Source organism: Homo sapiens, chromosome 19 (assembly GCF_000001405.40).
Source record: "Homo sapiens chromosome 19, GRCh38.p14 Primary Assembly".
Lineage (NCBI taxonomy): Eukaryota > Metazoa > Chordata > Mammalia > Primates > Hominidae > Homo > Homo sapiens.
In genome coordinates this window covers 15,192,349-15,212,327 of record NC_000019.10, presented here as the reverse complement: position 1 = coordinate 15,212,327, position 19,979 = coordinate 15,192,349, and the positions used below count along the sequence as shown (strand labels likewise).

The 19,979-nt window shown below is 54.1% G+C and overlaps 1 protein-coding gene across 2 annotated transcripts in view, besides 5 other annotated features; it reads left to right on the top strand.

The window, feature by feature from the left end:
* Positions 10,449–10,948: an enhancer, noted in NCBI's record as "H3K4me1 hESC enhancer chr19:15312191-15312690 (GRCh37/hg19 assembly coordinates)". NCBI's record gives its function as "activates a minimal SCP1, AML or CMV promoter by ChIP-STARR-seq in primed H9 embryonic stem cells {active_cell/tissue: H9 hESC(primed)}" and the evidence as "EXISTENCE:reporter gene assay evidence [ECO:0000049][PMID:30033119]".
* Positions 10,949–11,450: an enhancer, noted in NCBI's record as "H3K4me1 hESC enhancer chr19:15311689-15312190 (GRCh37/hg19 assembly coordinates)". NCBI's record gives its function as "activates a minimal SCP1, AML or CMV promoter by ChIP-STARR-seq in primed H9 embryonic stem cells {active_cell/tissue: H9 hESC(primed)}" and the evidence as "EXISTENCE:reporter gene assay evidence [ECO:0000049][PMID:30033119]".
* The window catches only part of NOTCH3 (notch receptor 3), a 41,958-nt gene continuing 33,311 nt past the window's right edge, over positions 11,333–19,979 (top strand). For both annotated transcript variants that reach the window (XM_005259924.5, NM_000435.3), the window contains exons 1-3: positions 11,333–11,540; positions 14,750–14,828; positions 19,809–19,951. In XM_005259924.5, the coding sequence (XP_005259981.1) occupies positions 11,423–11,540; positions 14,750–14,828; positions 19,809–19,951 (340 nt within the window). In that variant the 5' untranslated portion in view covers positions 11,333–11,422. The remainder of the gene's footprint in view (positions 11,541–14,749; positions 14,829–19,808; positions 19,952–19,979) is intronic.
* Positions 12,037–12,263: a silencer, noted in NCBI's record as "fragment chr19:15310876-15311102 (GRCh37/hg19 assembly coordinates)". NCBI's record gives its function as "represses an EF-1alpha promoter that drives an FKBP-Casp9 reporter gene in an ReSE screen in K562 erythroleukemia cells {active_cell/tissue: K562}" and the evidence as "EXISTENCE:reporter gene assay evidence [ECO:0000049][PMID:32094911]".
* Positions 16,762–17,262: an enhancer, noted in NCBI's record as "H3K4me1 hESC enhancer chr19:15305877-15306377 (GRCh37/hg19 assembly coordinates)". NCBI's record gives its function as "activates a minimal SCP1, AML or CMV promoter by ChIP-STARR-seq in naive H9 embryonic stem cells {active_cell/tissue: H9 hESC(naive)}" and the evidence as "EXISTENCE:reporter gene assay evidence [ECO:0000049][PMID:30033119]".
* Positions 17,263–17,763: an enhancer, noted in NCBI's record as "H3K4me1 hESC enhancer chr19:15305376-15305876 (GRCh37/hg19 assembly coordinates)". NCBI's record gives its function as "activates a minimal SCP1, AML or CMV promoter by ChIP-STARR-seq in naive H9 embryonic stem cells {active_cell/tissue: H9 hESC(naive)}" and the evidence as "EXISTENCE:reporter gene assay evidence [ECO:0000049][PMID:30033119]".

The following is a 19,979-nucleotide window of genomic DNA, read 5'->3' as shown; positions in this document are numbered from 1 at the left end:
TTTTTTGTATTTTTAGTAGAGATGGGGTTTCACCATGTTAGCCAGGATGGTCTCGATCTCCTGACCTCGTGATCTGCCCACCTTGGCCTCCCAAAGTGCTGGGATTACAGGCGTGAGCCACCTCGCCCGGCCCTGAAGTGGCTCTTCTGGGCTGGGCTTCCCAGCTCCTTCAGCCCCTTCCTGAGTCACCAAACCGTCCTACGTCACCTGCTTTTTGCTCACTCCATGCTGGGGGATGCTGGGACCCTCAAGAAGCCTCATCCTCTGTCTAACCCCCAAGGAGCCCTCAGTCCTTTGTTTGTTTGTTTTTTGTTTTTGTTTTGAGACAGGGTCTCAGTCTGTCACCCAGGCTGGAGTGCAGGGGCACGATCTCAGCTCACTGCAACCTCCACCTCCCAGGATCAAGCAATCCTCCCACCTCAGTCTTCTGAATTGCTGGGACTACAGGTATGCACCAGCATGCCCAGCTAATTTTTGTGTTTTTTGTAGACACAGGGTTTTACCATGTTACCCAGGCTGGTCTGAAATGCCTGTCCTCAGGTGACCCACCCCCCTCGTCCTCTCAAAGTGTTGGGATGACAGGCATGAGCCCCTGTGCCCAGCCAGCCCTTAGTCTTTAAATAGGGGACAAACCAGGGTACAGACACCCCCAACCCCTTGTGAACAAGGCTGAGCCATGGAGAAAAAGGGCACCGGGAGAGCGGGGGTGTCGGGGAGAGAGCAGCGCAGACTGAGGGACAGGGAGGACTTCCCGGAGTGGTATCCCTGAAGAATGGATAGGAGGTAACCAGAAATAGAAATAAGGGGCCAGGCACAGTGGCTCAGGCCTGGAATCCCAGCACTTTGGGAGGCCAAGAGCAGGAGGATCGCTCAAGCTCTGGAGTTTGAGACCAGCCTGGGCAACATAGCGAGACACTCATCGCTACAAAAAATACAAAAATAAGCAGGGTGTGGTGCTGAGCACCTGTAATTCCAACTACTCGGGAGGCCAAGGTGGGAGGATCACTTAAGCCTGGGAGGTCAAGGCTGCAGTGAGCTGTGTTCACGCCACTGCACTCCAGCCTGGCCTATAGAACGAGACCCTGTCTCTATTAAAAATAAGTAAATAAATAAATAGAAAGAAAGAAAGAGAGCAGGCCAGGCGTGGTGGCTCACGCCTGTAATCCCAGCACTTTGGAAGGCTGAGGCGGGCGGATCACTTGAGGTCAGGAGTTCGAGACCAGCCTGGCCAACATGGTGAAACCCCATCTCTACTAAAAATACAAAAATTAGCCGGGTGTGGTGGCCCGCCCCTGTAATTCCATGGGAGGCTGAGGCCGGAGAATCACTTGAACCTGGGAGGTGGAGGCTGCAGTGAGCCGAGGTCACACCACTACTGCACTCCAGCCTGGGTGACAAGAGCGAAACTCTGTCTCAAAAAAAAAAAAAAAAAAGAAAAGAAAAGAAAAAAATAAAGAGAGCGGCATGGGCAAAGGGGTGGCCTGTGTGAGAACTGTGTGAGAAACAGCAGAACATTCCCTCTAGCTGGAAGAAAATGAATTTTTGAAGAGGTCACACTGGCTGTGAGTTCCTGCTTGGGGAGGAAGCAAAAGGGTGTTTCTGTGCAGCTGGGTGTCTCAGGCAGAGGGAAGCACCCAGGCAAAGACCATGGGAGCACAAGGCCTGCTGGTTGCATCTGGGGTTTGACATGGTGTGACAATGGTTTTTTGTTTGTTGTTTTTGCTGGGGGTTTGGTGGGGAGGGTTAGGAAGGAGAGGGTCAGTCCCGGCCCAAGGGGCCCAAATGCAGGACTGAGGGCCTTGGATTTCCTTCCTGGGTGGTAGGCATGACGCAGGACTAGATCTGTGCCTGTCCCCATGGGCCTCTTGACTCAGCACAGTCACCGTGAGTCAGTGTGTGCCCCTTCTTAGGCAACTTCTGTTATTCCTCTGCCCAACCCCTACCCCGCCCCTGTACTCCATGTGGCCGGGAGTCACTGAGACCCAGGTTCATTTTTTTTCTTTTTCTTCCTTTTTTTTTTTTTTAATAAGGTCACTCTGTTGGCCAGGCTGCAGTGCAGTGGTGCGACTCGACCATGGCTCCCTGCAGTCTGGAACTCCTAGGCTCAGGTGATCCTCCTGCCTCAGACGCCCACATAGCTGGGACTACAGGTGTATGGGGTCTCACTGTGCTACCCAGGCTGGTCTCGAACTCTAGGCTCAGGTGATCCTCCTGCCTCAGCCCCCTGAGTAGCTGGGACAACAGGTGCACACCACCACACCCAGCTAATTCTTTCTTTTCTTTTTTTGTAGAGACAGAGTCTCACTATGTGGCCCAGTCTGGTCTCAAACTCTGAGCTCAAGTGATCCTTCTGCCTCAGCCTCCCAAAGTTCTGAGATTACAGGTGTGCTACACTGTGCCCAGCCAGTTTTTTTTTTTTCTTTTGAGAAAGTCTTGCTCCAAGGCTGGAATGCAGTGTCATGATCATCTGCAGCCTGGAACTCCTGGGCTCAAGCGATCCTCCTGCCTCAGTGTCCCGAGTGGCTGGGACTATAGGCGTGCACCGCTACACCTGGCTTGAGACTTAGCTTCAAACCTCAACTTTTCTTCCAGAAAGGCTGCAGTGAGTCACTGTTTTTTTTGTTTTTTGTTTTTTTTGAGATGGAGTTTCACTATTGTTGCCCAGGCTGGAGTGCAGTGGTGCGATCTCGGCTCACTGCAACCTCTGCCTTCCAGGTTCAAGCGATTCTCCTGCATCAGCCTCCTGAGTAGCTGGGATTACAGCCACCCGCCACCGTGCCCAGCTAAGTTTTGTATTTTAGTAGAGACGGGGCTTCACCATGTTAGCCAGGCTGGTCTCAAACTCCTGACCTCAGGTGATCCACCCACCTCAGCCTCCCAAAGTGCTGGGATTCCAGGCGTGAGCCACCGCGCCTGGCCTGTCTTCTCTAAGTTATATGGCTGTACCTGTAAGATGGAAATGATTGAACATCTTCACCTCCTGCCCTCTGAGAAGCCAGGGCAAGACCAGGGGTTGTCAGTGATGCTAGCCGCTGGTCAGTCATTCAACTTTCTTCTTCTTCTTTTTTTTTTTTTGAGACAGAGTCTCGCTTTGTCACCCAGGCTGGAGTGCAGTGGCGCGATCTTGGCTCACTGCAACCTCCACTTCCCGAGTTCAAGTGGTTGTCCTGCCTTAGCCTCCTGAGTAGCTGGGATTACAGGCATGCGCCACCATGCCCGGCTAATTTTTGTATTTTTAGTAGAGACAGGGTTTCACCATGTTGGTCAGGCTGGTCTGGAACTCCTGACCTTGTGATCTGCCCGCCTCGGCCTCCCAAAGTGTTGGGATTACAGGCGTGAGCCACTGTGCCCGGGCCTCAACTTTCATCCTTAGCACTCTCTCTCTCTCTCTCTTTTTGAGACAGCTCTGTCACCCAGGTTGGAGTGCAGTGGTGTGATCATAGCTCACTGCAGCCTGGAACTCCTGGGCTCAAGCGATCCTTCCGCCTCAGCCTCTTCTTTTTTTTTTTTTTTTTTTTTTTTGAGATGGAGTCTCGCTGTGTCGCCCAGGCTGGAGTGCAGTGGCACGATCTCGGCTCACTGAAAGCTCTGTCTCCCAGGTTCACACCATTCTCCTGCCTCAACCTCCCGAGTAGCTGGGACTACAGGCGCCCATCACCACGCCCGGCTAATTTTTTGTATTTTTTAAATAGAGACAGGGTTTCACCGTGTTAGCCAGGATGGTCTCGATCTCCTGACCTCATGATCCGCCCGCCTCGGCCTCCCAAAGTACTGGGATTACAGATGTGAGCCACCGCGCCCAGCCCCTCAGACTCTTAAGTAGCTGGGACTACCAGTGTGTGCCCATGCCCAGATAATTAATTTTTTTTTTTTTTTTTTTTTGTGACGGAGTCTCACTCTGTCACCCAGGCTGGAGTGCAGTGGCACAATCTCGGCTCACTGCAACTTCTGCCTCCCGGGTTCAAGCGATTCTCTTGCCTCAGCCTCTGAGTAGCTGGGACTACAGGCACGTGCCACCATGCCTGGCTAATTTTTCGTATTTTTTAGTAGGGACGGGGTTTCACCATGTTAGCCAGGATGGTCTCCATCTCCTGAACTTATGATCCTCCCGCCTTGGCCTCCCAAATGGTGGGATTACAGGGGTGAGCCACCACACCCGGCAATTTTAAAATTTTTTATAGAGATGGGATTTCACTATGTTGCCCAGGCTTATCTGGAATTCCTGAGCTCAAGCAATTCTTCTGCATCTGCCTCCTAAAGTGTGATTACAGGCATGAGCCACCATGCCCGGCTGTCTCTCTTTGACAATCCTTCTCTGTCTCCTTTGCTTCTTTCTCTTTCAGCCTTTAAAAATCATCCATCCAGCCAGGCGTGGTGGCTCACGCCTGTAATCCAGCGCTTTGGGAGGCTAAAGCGGGCAGATCACAAGGTCAGGAGTTTGAGACCAGCCTGGACGGTATGGTGAAACCCTGTCCCTACTAAAAATACACAAAGTTATCTGGGCATGGTGGTGCACCTGTAACCCCAGCTACTCAGGAGGCTAAGGCAGGAGAATCTCTTGAACCTGGGAGGCAGAGGTTGCAGTGAGCCAAGATTGCGCCACTGCACTCCGGCCTAGGGAACAGAGCAAGAGACCGTCAAAAAAAAAAAAAAAATCCATCCAGCCAGGCACAGTGGTTCATGCCTGTAATCCCAGCATTTTGGGAGGCCGAGGCGGGTGGATCACAAGGTCAGGAGTTCGAGACCAGCCTGGCCAAGATAGTGAAACCCTCGTTTCTACTAAAATACAAAAATTAGTCAGGCATGGTGGTGAGTGCCTGTAATCCCAGTTACTTGAGAGCTGAGGCAGAGAATTGATTGAATCCAGGAGGCGGAGGTTGCAGTGAGCTGAGATCACACCACTGCACTCCAGCCTGGGTGACAGAGTGAGACTCCGTCTCAAAAAAAAAAAAAATCATCCATCCAAAGTATTAATGGACCACTGGATAAGTAATGTGTGGTATAGCCATTCAATGAAATATTACTTAGCCATAAAAAGGAAGGAAGGCCGGGCACAGTGGCTCATGCCTGTAATCCCAGCACTTTGGGAGGCTGAGACCAGCCTGGCCAACATGGTGAGGCTCTATTAAAAACATAAATTTTTATATTTTTACAAAATAACTAGGATTATTAACTACTAAAAATACAAAAATTAGCTGAGTGTGGTGGCAAGTACCTGTAGTCACAGCTATTCAAGAGGCTGAGGCAGGAGAATCACTTGAACCCAGGAGATGGAGGTTGCAGTCAGCTGAGATCGTGCCACTGCACTCCAGCCTGGGTGCAACAGAGTGAGACCCTGTCTTGAAAAATAATAATAATAATAATAATAATAATAATAATAATAATAATAATAACTAATAAAATAAAATTAAAAGGAAGGAAGCCAGGATCCATGCTAAAACATAGAACAACCCCAAAAACATGATGAGAAGCCAGACACAAAAGGCTACATAGTGTATGATTCCATTGACACGAAATGCCCAGAATGGATAAATTCATAGAGACAGAAAGTGGATTAGTGGGTTCGAGGGCCTGGAGGAGGGAGAATGGGGAGGTTTCCGTTTGCAGGGATGGAAATGATCTGTAACTAGAGGTGATGGTCACACAGTATGAACACACTTTAAAGTGGTCAATGTTTAATTTTACGTTATGTGAATTTTACCTCAATTAAAACAAAAAGCACCAGAGAAGGCCAGGAGTTGTGGGGCGTGTCTATAGTCCCAGCTACTCGGGAGGCTGAGGAAGGAGGGTCACTTGGGCCCAGGAGTTCGAGGCTGCAGTGAACTATGATTGTGCCACTGGAACCCTGCCTGGGAAACAGAGCAAGACACTGTCTCAAAAAAAAAAAAAAGAAAGAAAGAAAGAAAACAACAACAACAACAACAAAAACAAACGAACAAAAAAAGAAAGCAAAACAATGATCAGGAGAAATAATCAAAAGATGCTAAAATCTATGGGGGAAAGCTTATTGGGCAGTAGGATATTCACACGGTCTCAATGTATCTCCCTATAGGGTAACTGTTCTGCGATGCTAGCCCCTGGTCAGTCATTCAACTTTCATCCCCCTTACAAAGGGGGAGGATGGAAAGGGAGGAAAATGGCACCCTTATAGCAGGGAAACTTGACCAACTTTGCCCCGGTGATGACAGCTGAACATCACCAATGCTGGGAACTGATGTCAGGAACCTCCTGATACGATGCACCCAGGAGGACCCAGCAATGCTTCTGTGGTTTCTGCCGAAGATGCACAGCCTGAACCTGATCACGAGGAAATGGCAGGCCAGCCATTCCTGCACAACTGCTGGCCATTCTGCACAACTGACCTCAGCTCTCCAAAAACGTCAGTGTCATGAAAGACAAAGAAAGACTGAGGAACCAATTCAGATTAAAAGAGACCAAGAGATATAAGGATTAGAATTAGCCGGGTGTGGTGGCTAGCTACTTGGGGGGCTGAGGCAGGAGAATCCTAGCTACTTGGGAGGCTGAGGCAGGAGAATCCTAGCTACTTGGGAGGCTGAGGCAGGAGAATCAGTTGAACCTGGGAGGTGGAGGTTACAGTGAGTCAAGATCATGCCACTGCACTCCAGCCTGGGTGACAGTGCGAGACTCTGTCTCAAAACAAAAGGATTAGATGCAACTCATGATGCAGCATTAGATAGATCCTGGGCCAGCAAAGAAACATTGCAATAAAAGATTTAATTTTTTTTTTCTTTTCTTTTCTTTTTTTTCTTGAGACTGAATCATGCTCTTTTGCCCAGTCTGGAGTGCAGTGTCGCGATCTCGGCTCACTGCAAACTCCGCCTCCTGGGTTCAAGCGATTCTCGTGCCTCAGCCTCCCGAGTAGCTGGGATTACAGGCACTTGTCACCATGCCCAGTTAATTTTTGTATTTTTAGTAGAAAAGGGGTTTCACCATGTTGGCCAGGCTGGTCTTGAACTCCTGACCTCAGGTGATCAGCCGGCCTCAGCCTCCCAAAGTGCTGGAATTACAGGTGTGAACCACCGCGCCCGGCCACTAATTTTTTTGTTTTTTCCCCACAGGGTCTTGCTCTGTTATCCAGACTGGAGTGGAGCAGGATGATCACAGCTCACGGCAGCCTCGACCTCCTGGGCTCAAGCAACGCTCTCACCTCAGCCTCCTGAGTAGCTGGGACTACAGGTACGCGCCACTATATGCTGCTAATTTTTTCTAGTTTTGTAGAGTCAGGAGTCTTACTATGTTGCCCAGGCTGGCCTTGAACTCTTGGCCTCAACCAATCCTCCCTCCTTGGCCTCTCAAAGTGTTGGGATTACAGGTGTGAGCCACTGTACCTGGCCCAATAAAGGATATTATTTGGGCAACTAGCAAACTTTGAATACAGACTGGGGCAAAAACTGTAGTATGTTTATGAAAGAGGATACCCTTGTTCTCAGGAAACACACAGCAAAGTATTTGAAGGCAAAGGAACATCATATCTACAACTTACTCTCAAATCATTTAGCCAAAAAATGCATATATGCATATGTGTATAACGTATATGTACACATATATGTCAAATGTGGCAAAATGTGGGTGGTTGGTGAATCTGGACAAAGGGCTTATACAAGTTGTTCACGCTATTCTGTAACTCTCAGTTTTTTTTGTTTTTGTTTTGAAGTTGGTTCTTGCTCTGTTGCCCAGGCTGAAGTGCAGTGACATCCAGGCTCAAGTGATCCTCCCACTTCAGCCTCCCAAGTAGCTGGGACTACAGGCGCTCACCACTACACCCTCTTAATTTTATTTTAATTTTTTATAGAGATGGAGGTCTTGCTATGTTGCCCAGACTGATTTTGAACTCCTGGCCTCAAACAATCCTCCTGCCTCAGCCTCCCAAAGTGCTGGGATTACAGACATGAGCCACCACGCCCGGCATGCAACTTTGTGTGTTTTAAATTATTTTCGTCTTTTTTTTTTTTTCCTTTTTGTGGAGAATGGGGTCTCACTATATTGCCCAGGCAGGTCTTGAACTTCTGGGCTCAAGCTATCCTCCCGCCTCTTGCCTCCCTGAGAGCTGGGATTACAGGCATGAGCCACCGCGCCCGGCTTAAATTATTTTCAAATAAAAAGTTAAAAAAACTGTGGCCAGGCATGGCGGCTCACGCCTGTAATTCCAGCACTTTGGGAGGCTGAGGTGGGTAGATCACTTGAGGTCAGGAGTTCGAGACCAGCCTGGACAACATGGTGAAACCCTGTCTCTACCAAAGACACAAAAATTAGCCGGGCATGGTGGTGTGGGCCTGTAGTTCCACCTACTTGGGGTGGCGGGGGGAACTGAGGCAGGAGAATCGCTTGAACTCAGGAATGGAGGTTGTAGTGAGCCGAGATGGCACCACTGCACTCCAGCCTGGGCCACAGACCGAGACTTGGTCTTAAGAAAAAAAGAGTCCGGAAGTGGTGGCTCATGCCTGTAATCCCAGCACTTTGGGAGGCTGAGGCAGGTGGATCACCTGAGGTCGGGAGTTGGAGACCAGCCTGACCAACATGGAGAAACTCTGTCTCTACTAAAAACACAAAATTAGCCACACATGGTGGCACATGCCTGTAATCCCAGTTACTCGGGAAGCTGAGGCAGGAGAATCACTTGAACCCAGGAGGCAGAGGTTGTGGTGAGCCGAGATTGCGCCATTATACTCCAGCCGGGGCAACAAGAGCAAAACTCCATCTCAAAAAAAAAAAAAAAAAAAAAAAAAATTGGCCCGGCGTGGTGGCTCATGCCTGTAATCCCAGCACTTTGGGAGGCAGAGGAGGGTAGATCACCTGAGTTCAAGAGTTTGAGACTAGCCTAGCCTACATAGTGAAACCCTGTCTCTACTAAAAATACAAAGCCAGGCATGGTGGTGTGTGCCTGTAATCCCAGCTACTTGGGAGGCTGAGGCAGGAGAATCAGTTGAACCCGGGAGGCAGAGGTTGCAGTGAGCCGAGGTCGCGCGCCACTGCACTCCAGTCTGGGTGACAGAGGGACTTTGTCTAAAAAAAAAAATTGTCTGAAGATTTCTGGGATACCCATGTGACTATCTCCTACCAGAATGGTTCTCCCATGCTCAGCCATACCTGCCTTGTAGGTGACCCCCTCAAACCCAGCATCTCTCCTCCACCCAACCCATTCCTTCTTCCAGCATCCTTATCACCAAGCCAGATACCAAGGAGTAAGCATGGCTCCTTTCTCCTCTTAACCTCTGGCCTGTACACGTTCCCTTCCAACTCTGTCCCTTCCTGTTGGCATGGGCCAGTCCCTCTGCTGGGATGACTTCCCTCCAGCTCAACTTTCAGGGCCAAGCCCCACTGGACGTCCTCTTGGACGCCCTCCAGGGTGCACCCCCAGTCCATAGAACAGAGTGTGATACAGGGCTGGAGCCTTAGCCATACTTGTTGAATACATGAATGAACAAATAAATAACCCTCCCAGGCAAAGTCCTCACCCACCACCCGTGTACCCCAGGCCCTTCCCAGATTCCATGCCTTTCTCTGGCCCAGCCCTGAGCCCTCCACACTGGGTGTGTGTGCGTCTAGCTTTTTCTTCCCCAGACTGGAAGTTCCTCCAGGGCTGGGCTCCAGGCCTCTCAGGGTCCCCATTCTTTCCACAGGAACAGAGGGAGCTGCAGGAAGCCTGTGCAGCATGACTGATTTGGGAAAAGGCAATTGATCAAGGCTGGGCGTGGTGGCTCACGCCTGTAATCCCAGCACTTTGGGAGGCTGAGGCGGGCGGATCACTTGAAGTCAGGAGTTCGAGACCAGCCTGGCCAACATGGCAAAACCCAGTCTCTACTAAAAAAATAGAAGCTGGGCGCGGTGGCTCACGCCTGTAATCCCAACACTTTGGGAGGCTGAGGCAGGCAGATCACGAGGTCAGGAGATCGAGACCATCCTGGCTGACACGGTGAAACCCCGTCTCTACTAAAAATACAAAAAAAAAATTAGCAGAGCATGGTGCCAGTTGCCTGTAGTCCCAGCTACTCGGACGGCTGAGGCAGGAGAATGGTGTGAACCCAGGAGGCGGAACTTGCAGTGAGCGGAGATCATGCCACTGCACTTCAGCCTGGGCAACAGAGCGAGACTCCGTCTCAAAAACAAACAAACAAGTAAACAAAAACCCAGAAAAAATTAGCCACGTATGGTGGCGCACACCTCTAATCCCAGCTACTTGGCAGATTGTGGGGGTGGGGGCTGAGGAAGGAGAATCGCTTGAACCTGGGAGGTAGAGCTTGCAGTGAGCCAAGATAGGGACACTGCACTCCAGCCTGGGTGACAGAGCGACACGCTGTCTCAAAAAAAAAAAAAAAAAGAAAAGAGAATTAATCAAATTGAGCCAGATAGGCTGAGGCCCAAAGCTGTGTGGGGTATGGGGGTGGGACTAGGGGGCTGGGGTGACCCTTTGAGAGTCACAGAGGAAGTGGGTTGCTTTCTGGGAGGGCTGAGAGCAAGAAGAGTTTGTGTGTGCATGTGTGAACACACACACATGCATGTGACTCCTAGTACGTGTCTGAGGTCTGAGGCTGCAAATGTAGTCCTAGGCTCCTGGCCTGGCTGAGTGAGTTTTAGCGGTTTTTTGTTTGTTTGTTTTGTTTGAGACAGGGTCTTACTCTGTTGCCCAGGCTGGAGCGCAGTGGTACGATTTCGGCTAAGTGCAACCTCAGCCTCCTGGGTTGAAGCGATTTTCCTGCTTCAGCCTCTCGAATAGCTGGGACTACAGGCGTGCGCCACCACGCTCAGCTAATTTTTGTATTTTCAGTAGAGTCCGGGTTTCACCATGTTGGCCAGGCTGGTCTCCAACTCTTGACCTCAAGTGATCCATCCACCTCTGCCTCTCAAAGTGCTGGGATTACAGGCCGGAGCCACCGCGCCCGGTCCGACTTTTAGGTTTGTGAATGTTTTAGATCAGAGTCCTGGGGAAGCTTGGTGCATGGGCTTGCATTTGTGCGTCCGTGGCTGTGGGTCCATGAGCCTCTCAGGACGTGACTGGCCTCAGTTTCCAGAGTTTCTGGGAGGCTGTGTTTTTTGTCCCGGCTCCAGAGGTGTCCGGCTCTGGGTGTGTACTGGGGGATGGGGATGGGGTGCGTGGGCGTTCACGAGGTTGGGTGTGCCCGCCACTCCGGGTTCTGCCCGCGTCTCACTGCATGCTCGGCCTGGGTTTCCGAGGGTCCGCGCGTCCCAGGCTGTGCGGGTGGAGGGTGGGCAGGGACCCCGGGAGGCCGGGCGGGGGGCGGGGGCGCGCTGGGCCGGCCCCGGGGCGGGGCGAGCCTTCGAGGGCTGGGGGCGGGGCGGCCCGGCCGCCTCACTTCGGCGAAGTTGGCGGCGCGGAGGCTGGCCCGGGACGCGCCCGGAGCCCAGGGAAGGAGGGAGGAGGGGAGGGTCGCGGCCGGCCGCCATGGGGCCGGGGGCCCGTGGCCGCCGCCGCCGCCGTCGCCCGATGTCGCCGCCACCGCCACCGCCACCCGTGCGGGCGCTGCCCCTGCTGCTGCTGCTAGCGGGGCCGGGGGCTGCAGGTGAGGGGCCGGGACCTGGCGGATGGGACGAGGGCGGCAGAGGGGGAGTGCAAGAACCCCCAAGGCCGGGGCTGGCGGGGGTTCATGGGAGGCAGGAACCAGGGTCGGGGAAGGGGCGCAGGAGCCCCGGGCTTCATGCCAGTCCTGGAGGACCCAGAGATTCAGAATGGGGAGGACCCCAGAGGCCCAAGGAACAGGGACCCTTGAGCGATTAGAGCTGAAGATGAAGGGACCCAGGAGTCCGAGACTGGGAGCTCGAGGTGCGGGGATCAGGGACTCGAGGTGGGGGGGTGCGTACAGAGTTCGGGACTCGTCCCCATCCAACTCACGCCTGGAGTCCTGGGTAGGTTATGATTGGGGGCCCAGGTACTTCTAGGCCGGGGACCTCTCGCACAAAAGCCCCCCCACCCCGCCCCCGACACCCCGGGCGGGCTGGGCCAGGCGGGGGGTGGGGAGGGGGCGCGAAGTTCTGGGAGCTCTGAACTCGGAGAAAACTTCCCAGGCCGGCGCGCAGCAAGACCCGGAGCCGGATTCCGAGCCGGAGCCTCGGCGGCGCGCGCGCCCCCTCCCCCGCCCGCAGCCCGCCTCTCTCCTCTGGCCGCGGGGACCCGGAGGCCCTGGGACCCCGCCCCTGCGCGGGGAGGGGAAGGGGCGAGGGCCCACGTGCTCCCCTTCGGCTCCAGCGCCCCCTCCCCGCGGCCAGAGCCCCTCCCCAGCCGGCCAGGGGCCCCCGCCCCTCCTCCTCTCCTCCCTCCCCTCCCCCGCTCGGGACAATGGCCGCGCCGTCTAGACACCCCCTCCCTCCGGCCGGCCTCGCGCTTTCTTTGCCAGACAAAGCGGGACCCGCGGCTGGGCCGGGGAGGGGGCTGCGGGGGCACCCCCCTCACCGCTACGGGAGGCCTGGTGGGCGGGGGAGGGGCGCGGGCCAAGGCCCCTGGCCAGGGGTCCCAGACGCCAGTGTGGGGCTTGGCGCTGGGCGGGGTGGGGGTTTCGGGAGTGAACGGCCTCCCCAGCCCAGCCCCGGGGCCCGGACGGGGCAGGACCAGGCAGGAGCCGCCGCCTCCGCCGGACCAGCGGCGCACACACATGGCCTGTGACACACTCGCTGGCACACATAGCTCTAGGTCACGTAACAGAGATGCAAACCTGCACACACACAGCACACTCGCAGACTTGCACACCTGGCTCAGGAAAGACACACCCAGCTGCACGCACACAGCTCACACATTGACATACATACACACACAAATATGATCACACAGGTGTGGCACACACGCTGCCTGCACACACTCAGACAGCACATAGATGAAGACTCAAGGACATGCTTACACCCAGCTCACACATGCAGATGGACAGACACAGCCAACCCATACACAGACACAGCGGTGCACACACAGGTCACACCAACACACAGCTGTACACCCATTTACACGGTTCACATACACAGACGCACAACAGACACAACCTGCATACAGACAGCACACACATCTGTGCATTCCCGTATGGGTGTGCAGCTCATACACACACGGGCACACCCACGCTGACATGCATGTACAGATAGACTCACATGTAGCTGCAACTGAGACACAATAGATGCATGCCCAAATCCACATACAGACACACAAGCCCGTGCACGCACACACATGTGGCTCACATTGCCTACAGCTCAGGGTGGCCCATAGCCCATGTTATGGGACCCACAGTGTGAGTTCACGAACACCCACAGGTCCTGGTGTGGGTGATGGTGTCCAGTCGGCTTGTCCTGTGAGGAAGGGGCATATACTATGTAGGCCCATGCTCAGGTTCAGCTCGACAGATTCTGTAACTCACCCTCTTGTTTTCTATTTCTTTCTGTCCTTCTCTCTCTCTTTTTTTTTTTTGAGACAGTCTCACTCTGTTGCCAGGCTGGCATGCAGTGGCGCAATCTCGGGTCACTGCAACCTCCGCTTCCCAGGTTCAAGCGATTCTCCTGCCTCAGCCTCCCGAGTAGCTGGGACTACAGGCGTGCGCCACCACACCCAGCTAATTTTTTTTTGGAGATGGAGTTTGGCTCTTGTTGCCCAGGGTGGAGTGCAATGGCGTGATCTCGGCTCACTGGAACCTCTGGCTCCTGGGTTCAAGCGATTCTCCTGCCTCAGCCTCCTGAGTAGCTAGGATTACAGGCACCTGCTACCATGCCCAGCTAAGTTTTATATTTTTAGAACAGACTGGGTTTCACTGTGTTGGCCAGGCTGGTCTCGAACTCCTGACCTCAGGTGATCCACCAGCCTCGGCCTCCCAAAGTGTTGGGATTAGAGGCGTGAGCCACCATGCCTGGCCGCTTTCTATTTCTTTCTGTCCTTCTCTGTCTTCTCCTGGTCTATCTGCTTCTAGTTCATTCTCACGTCTTTGTGTTTTTCTCGATCTTCCTTCCTCTCTCCATCACCCTCTCTCTGACAAGAGCATGCATGGACACACGCACTGTGTCCCCACACCTGATCGCATGCACACAGTTCTCCACTAGCTCAGACCCAGCCACACCCTGGACCCTTCTGGCAGGACAGTTAGACTATGCCACACCCTAGAGGGACACAGCCCTTAGGGATGGCGATGTTGGACAGGGCAGCACATGCCTTGTGCCAGTTGCCCCTCCCTTCAACACACACCCTATTCCAGCAACGCCCAGCGCTGGCTGCTTCTGGAGATGCTGTGCTCACTCGTGGGTACATGCCTTGGTCCCTCTCCCAAGAGCACCACGCAGGCCTGCCTGGCTGGAGTAGATGCCCATCAGGGAAAGGAAGACCCGTGGCCCTAGGATCCCCTGCCCCTTCCCCTTCTATTACCCCTGAACCTGGGCATGAAGCCCCAGACCTCCCTGTAACACTCAGCACCCTTACTTCCTGTCTCAGCACACCCCATTCTGCACATCTTAGCTCTGGCAGCTTCCCGAGCCCCCACATCTGGCATAAGACAGCCCCTCCTCCTGCCTTCCCCTGCTTTGTGGTTCCCAGGGCTCGAGCTGGCAGGGACAGCTGCAGCCTCAACAGCTGGGGCTGGGGCGGGGGGGGGGGGGGCGTGGGAACTGTGGATGGGGGGACTCCCTGCACCCGCAGAGACGCCCCCATCCCCATGCAGCTGTTGCCTGGTGGAGGGAGGGAGGGGGTTTGTCACTTGGGCCTGGGGTTCCTGGGCACCTGGCTGATCCTCCACCTTCCTTCACCCCCACACAGCCCCCCCTTGCCTGGACGGAAGCCCGTGTGCAAATGGAGGTCGTTGCACCCAGCTGCCCTCCCGGGAGGCTGCCTGCCTGTGAGTGCCTGGCTCAGAGCCACCAGTGGGCCCTGTGTGTGGGGGCGGGGGGGAGGGGCGATTTGTCTTCTCCCTCTGCCTCTGTGTTCACCATGGATGTCTCTACCACTTCCTACATGTGTGTGGCTTGGGCAACCTCTCGTGTTTCCCCATTGGAAACTGAGCAGGGGCTCTGCACTCTTCTTGGCATGGGTTCAAGTCCCACATCATGTTGCTGACCGGCTAGGAATTAAACTCTTTACATCTCAGTGTCATGGTCTGCAAAATGGGCCCAGTAATCCCAGCTTCACAGTTCTTGGCCACCTGAGGTCACATGTAAAGCCCCCCATGAGGTAGGTATTATTCAATCAACAAACTATCAGGGACCAATCGCAGTGGCTCACACCCTCCACACCCCTCCCATCTCTCAACATTTAGTGGAGGGGGACATAGGAGGCCTATAATACAGTCCCACACTGCCACTTACTTGCAGTGTGACTTTGGGCTAGTCACTTTCCCTCTCTGATCATCATTGCACCTGTGAAATAGGGAATGCTTCACTGGCGACTGTGAAGGGACTTAACAATTTAGTTGTTAGATATCACAAGGAAAGGCAAGAGGTTGCAGGGAGCAGAGCAGAGGCTGGGAAGGAGCTGAGCAGAGACAGAAAGAGCTCAGCTTAAATTCTGGGGTCTGGGACACCTTGAGCATTCAAGCTTTTTGAGCCTCAGTTTTTGCATCTGGAAAATGGGGCAATAATAACTCCTGTATGCACTCAACATACATTAAGTGCTCAGAATATAGTATGTGCTCAACATAGGCATTATTATAAATAATAATGGTAGGGAGGCAGGAAACAGGTGCTCTAAGGAGAAGTCTCTCAAGGTTATGAGGAAATGCTTGGCTCCTTTCATGCTATCATTAATAACAGCAGTTCACGCAGTAGCCATTGATTGACTCATTAATGTATTCATTTATTCAGCATCATGTGTGCCAAGTACTGGGTCAGGCCCAAGCTGGGTGGGTCTGGGGTGATTTTAGACCAAGAAGAGCCGCTTTGAAGTTACACCTACATTTATTTTGGCTGGATCTCCCACTCGGGCTCACCTTTGTGGAGGGCTGAGCCTGACTGAGAGGGTTTCCTGGGGCTGGGGGGTCTGCGAAGGTGGGGCGGGATGGGGAAAAGTGTGACCTTACCTGGAGCCACACACCTGGGAGGGCGAGCGGTGGGGCCGGGCGCCTGCGCAGTGGAGCTCCGCGCCTGGAATACTGCCGACAGGTGAATGAGCCCGCGGCTGCCCCGCCCTTCGACAGGTGAATCACCGGCGCGCGCGGCGCCCGGAGCCCGGATCGCCCGGAGTGGAGCGGGCTCAGTCCTCCGAGTTGGGCTGTGGGAACCACTCCCTACACGCCCTCCACCCCCCACGAGTCTCTTTCACGGTCTCAAATACTCAAGTCCTTTCAAGGATGCCCCCAAGCTGTCACCCCACCCATGGATCCCCCAAGACCCCCCCACCGGCAGCAGACGTTTCCATAGACCTCGTCCCCATCTCCTAGTCCTCGCCTCACCCGCCGTGCCCCCCCTAACTAGGTCTGCGCTCCCCCCTCCGTCTCCCCCAAAGCTTAGGCCGTGGGGCGGGGCGCGGGCTGGGGCTGGAACCGGCCCGACCGGTCGGCGGGGGCGCGGGACGCAGAGCGTGGGAACCCGCCCGGGGCGTCGGGAGGGGGCCCGCGCGGGTCGCGCCCTGCCTGGCGGTGGGACCAGCTATCCTCGGCGCCCAGCGCAGCGCGCCCCCTCCCGACGCGCGGTCGGGGCCGCAGTGGTCGCCCTGCGGGCCTTGGAGGAGGGGACGGGAGCTGTGCCCTCCCCTCCCAACGCCACCCGCACCCTTGCTTGCTCGGCCGTGCCCCGACCTGTTTCGCTGGGGGCCGGGGTGGGGGGGATCTTGCGGGTGACGCTAAGGACTGAGTCAGCCGCTTGTTGAGTTCAGTCTCAGGCGTCTGGGACAAGCCGGAGGGAGGACAACCGCGCCAGGGGCGGAGGGTGGGGGGATAGAGGGGGGTGAGGGTTGGCAGCGTCGGGGGGCGGAGCTTGGACTCTCTGGCTTCTCTAAGCCCCTCCCTCTGACCCCGCTAGTGCCCCTTGGAGATTTCCAGTCTTAAGACCAACCCCTCCCAGTTCCAATTCCTCACACTCCTTGGTGGGCTTGGGGAGGGGGCTGCAGGTTGAAGGACCACCCCCCCAAGATGAGGGTACCAACAGTGGTGTCAGTACCCCAACCCTCCACCCTCCCATCCCTGCATAAGAGGCTATATAAGTCCCAGAGAAGGGACTTGAGGGTTTGTGGGAGCCCTGCTGTCTGTCCCTGTGAGTGAGAGTTGCTCATTTCCGCGTGGGATGCTGTGGGTTGGTGTCTTGAGTGCTGGCCAGGCCATGGCGTCCAATTGGTGTGTCCCTCTGTGTGTGTAGCTGTGGTTTCTGGGCCTGTCTGTGTGTGCCTGCGTGGTTGTGTCCTGGGGTCTGAGACTTCTTTTTTTCCTTTTCCTTTTTTTTTTTTTTTTTGAGATCGAGTATCGCTCTTGTTGCCCAGGCTGGAGTGCAGTGGCTCGATCTTGGCTCACTGCAGCCTCTATCTCCTGGGTTCAAGCGATTTTCCTGCCTCAGCCTCCGGAGTAGCTGGGATTACAGGCATGTGCCACCACACTTGGCTGATTTTTTGTGTTTTTAGTAGAGACGGAGTTTCTTCATGTTGGTCAGGCTGGTCTCGAACTCTTGATGTCAGGTGATCTACCTGCCTCGGTCTCCCAAAGTGTTGGGATTACAGGCGTGAGCCACCGCGCTTGGACATGGGTCTGAGACTTTTCATTTGCTGTTCCCTCTGCCTGGAATGCCGTTCCCCAGAAAGCCCCATGGCCCCCTCCTTACCTTCATATGTCTGTGAAAATAGAATTCCACCTCCTTGACCCCATCATTCTATCCCCCTTAACCCTGTGGTTTAGCTTCCTACGGCTGCTCTAACAAATTACCATAAACTGGGTAGCTTGAACAATAGTAATTTATTCTCTTGAAGTTCTGGAGGTTGGAAGTCTGAAATCAAGATATCGGCAGGGCTGAGCCTCTCCATGGGGACCCAGGGGAGAACTGACTCTTGCAGCTTCTGGTGGCTCCAGACGTTTCTCAGCTAGTGGCTGTCTCACTCCAGTCCCTGTCTCTGTCTTCTTCTCTTCCTTCTCCCACCCAAATCTCCTTTTGGCTGCCTCTCTCTTTTTTTGAGACAGAGTCTTGCTCTGTCACCCAGGCTGGAGTGCAGTGGTGCAATCTTAGTTCACTGCAGCCTTCAACTCCCAGGCTGAAGCGATCCTCCCACCTCAGCCTCCCAAGAAGCTGGGACTACAGGTGTGAGCCACCACGGCCAGCTAATCTTTTATTTTTATTTTTTAGGTGGAGTCTCTCTCTGTCACCCAGGCTGGAGTGCAGTGGCACGATCTCGGCTTACTGCAACCTCCGCCTCCCAGGTTCAAGCAATTCTTCTGTCTCAGCCTCCTGAGTAGCGGGGACTACACGAGTGCACCACCACGCCCAGCTAATTTTTGTATTTTTAGTAGCGACGAGGTTTCACCATATTGGCCAGGCTGGTCTTGAACTCCTGACCTCGTGATCCGCCCACCTCAGTCTCCCAGAGTGCTGGGATTACAGGCATGAGCCACTGCGCCTGGCCTGTTTGTTTTTTTTGTTTTTTGTTTTTTTTTGAGATGGAGTCTCCCTCTGTCAACCAGGCTGGAGTGCAGTGGTGCAATTTCGGCTCACTGCAACCTCCGCCTCCTGGGTTCAAGCGATTCTCCTGCCTCAGCCTCCAGAGTAGCTGGGATTACAGGCTCCTGCCACCATGCCCGGTTATAATTTTTAATTTTTTTTTGTGGAAAAAAAGTCTCCCTATGTTGCTCAAGCTGATCTTGAACTTCTGGCTTGAAGTGATTATCCTGTCTTGACCTCCCAAAGTGTTGGGATTACAGTTGTGAGCCGTTCTCTTGTATGAACACTTGTCACTGAATTTAGGGCCCAGGTGGATAATTCAGAATAATCTCATCTTGACATCTCTCATTTAATTACATCTGCATAGCCAGGCCTGGTGGCGTGTGCCTGTACTCCCAGCTACGCAGGAGGCTGAGACAAAGAATTGCTTGAACCCCGGGAGGTGGAGGTTGCAGTGAGCCAAGATCGCGCCACTGCACTGCAGCCTGGGTGACAGAGCAAGACTCCGTCTCTTAAAAAAAAAAAATTACATCTGCAAAGAGCCATTTAAAAAAAAAGTAAGGTCCTAGTCACAGGTTCTGGGACATGGATGTCATCTTTTCAGGGGCTGTGACCCAACTGACTACATCCTTCATGGTTCTGATGGCTTTCACCGCCCCCTGCCAGCATGTTGTATATTAATTTGTTATTCGTATATGTTCTCCTTGCCTGGACCTGGCTGCAAGGATCCAGAGGGATAGGGACCCCTTTCATTGTGTTTGTTGCTGTATTTGTATTGCTCAGAACGTAGTAGGTACTCAGTAAATATTCGTTGCATGAATGAATGTGTGTTTTGTTTTGTTTTGTTTCTTTGAGACCGAGTCTTACTCTGTCACCCAGGCTGCAGTGCAGTGGCGCGATCTTGGCTCACTGCAACCTCCACCTCCCGAGTTCAAGCAATTCTCCTGCCTCAGCCTCTTGAGTAGCTGGGACTACAGGCACGCACCACTATGCCCAGCAAAGTTTCGTACTTTTAGTAGAGACGGGGTTACACCATGTTGGCTAGGCTGGTCTTGAACTCCTGACCCCAAGTGATCTGCCCGCCGCAGCCTCCCAAAGTTCTGGGATTACAGGCGTGAGCCACTGCTCCCAGCAAATGTGTGTTTGCTGCTCTGTTTCCCTGCGTGTTTCTTGCCTGTCTTGTGTGTATCTTTGTGTCTGGGGCCATCCTGCCCTGTGCTGCCCAACCAAGCCATCTCTGCCCACAGGTGCCCGCCTGGCTGGGTGGGTGAGCGGTGTCAGCTGGAGGACCCCTGTCACTCAGGCCCCTGTGCTGGCCGTGGTGTCTGCCAGAGTTCAGTGGTGGCTGGCACCGCCCGATTCTCATGCCGGTGCCCCCGTGGCTTCCGAGGTGAGAGGGGAAGAGTCTGGAGGGGAGG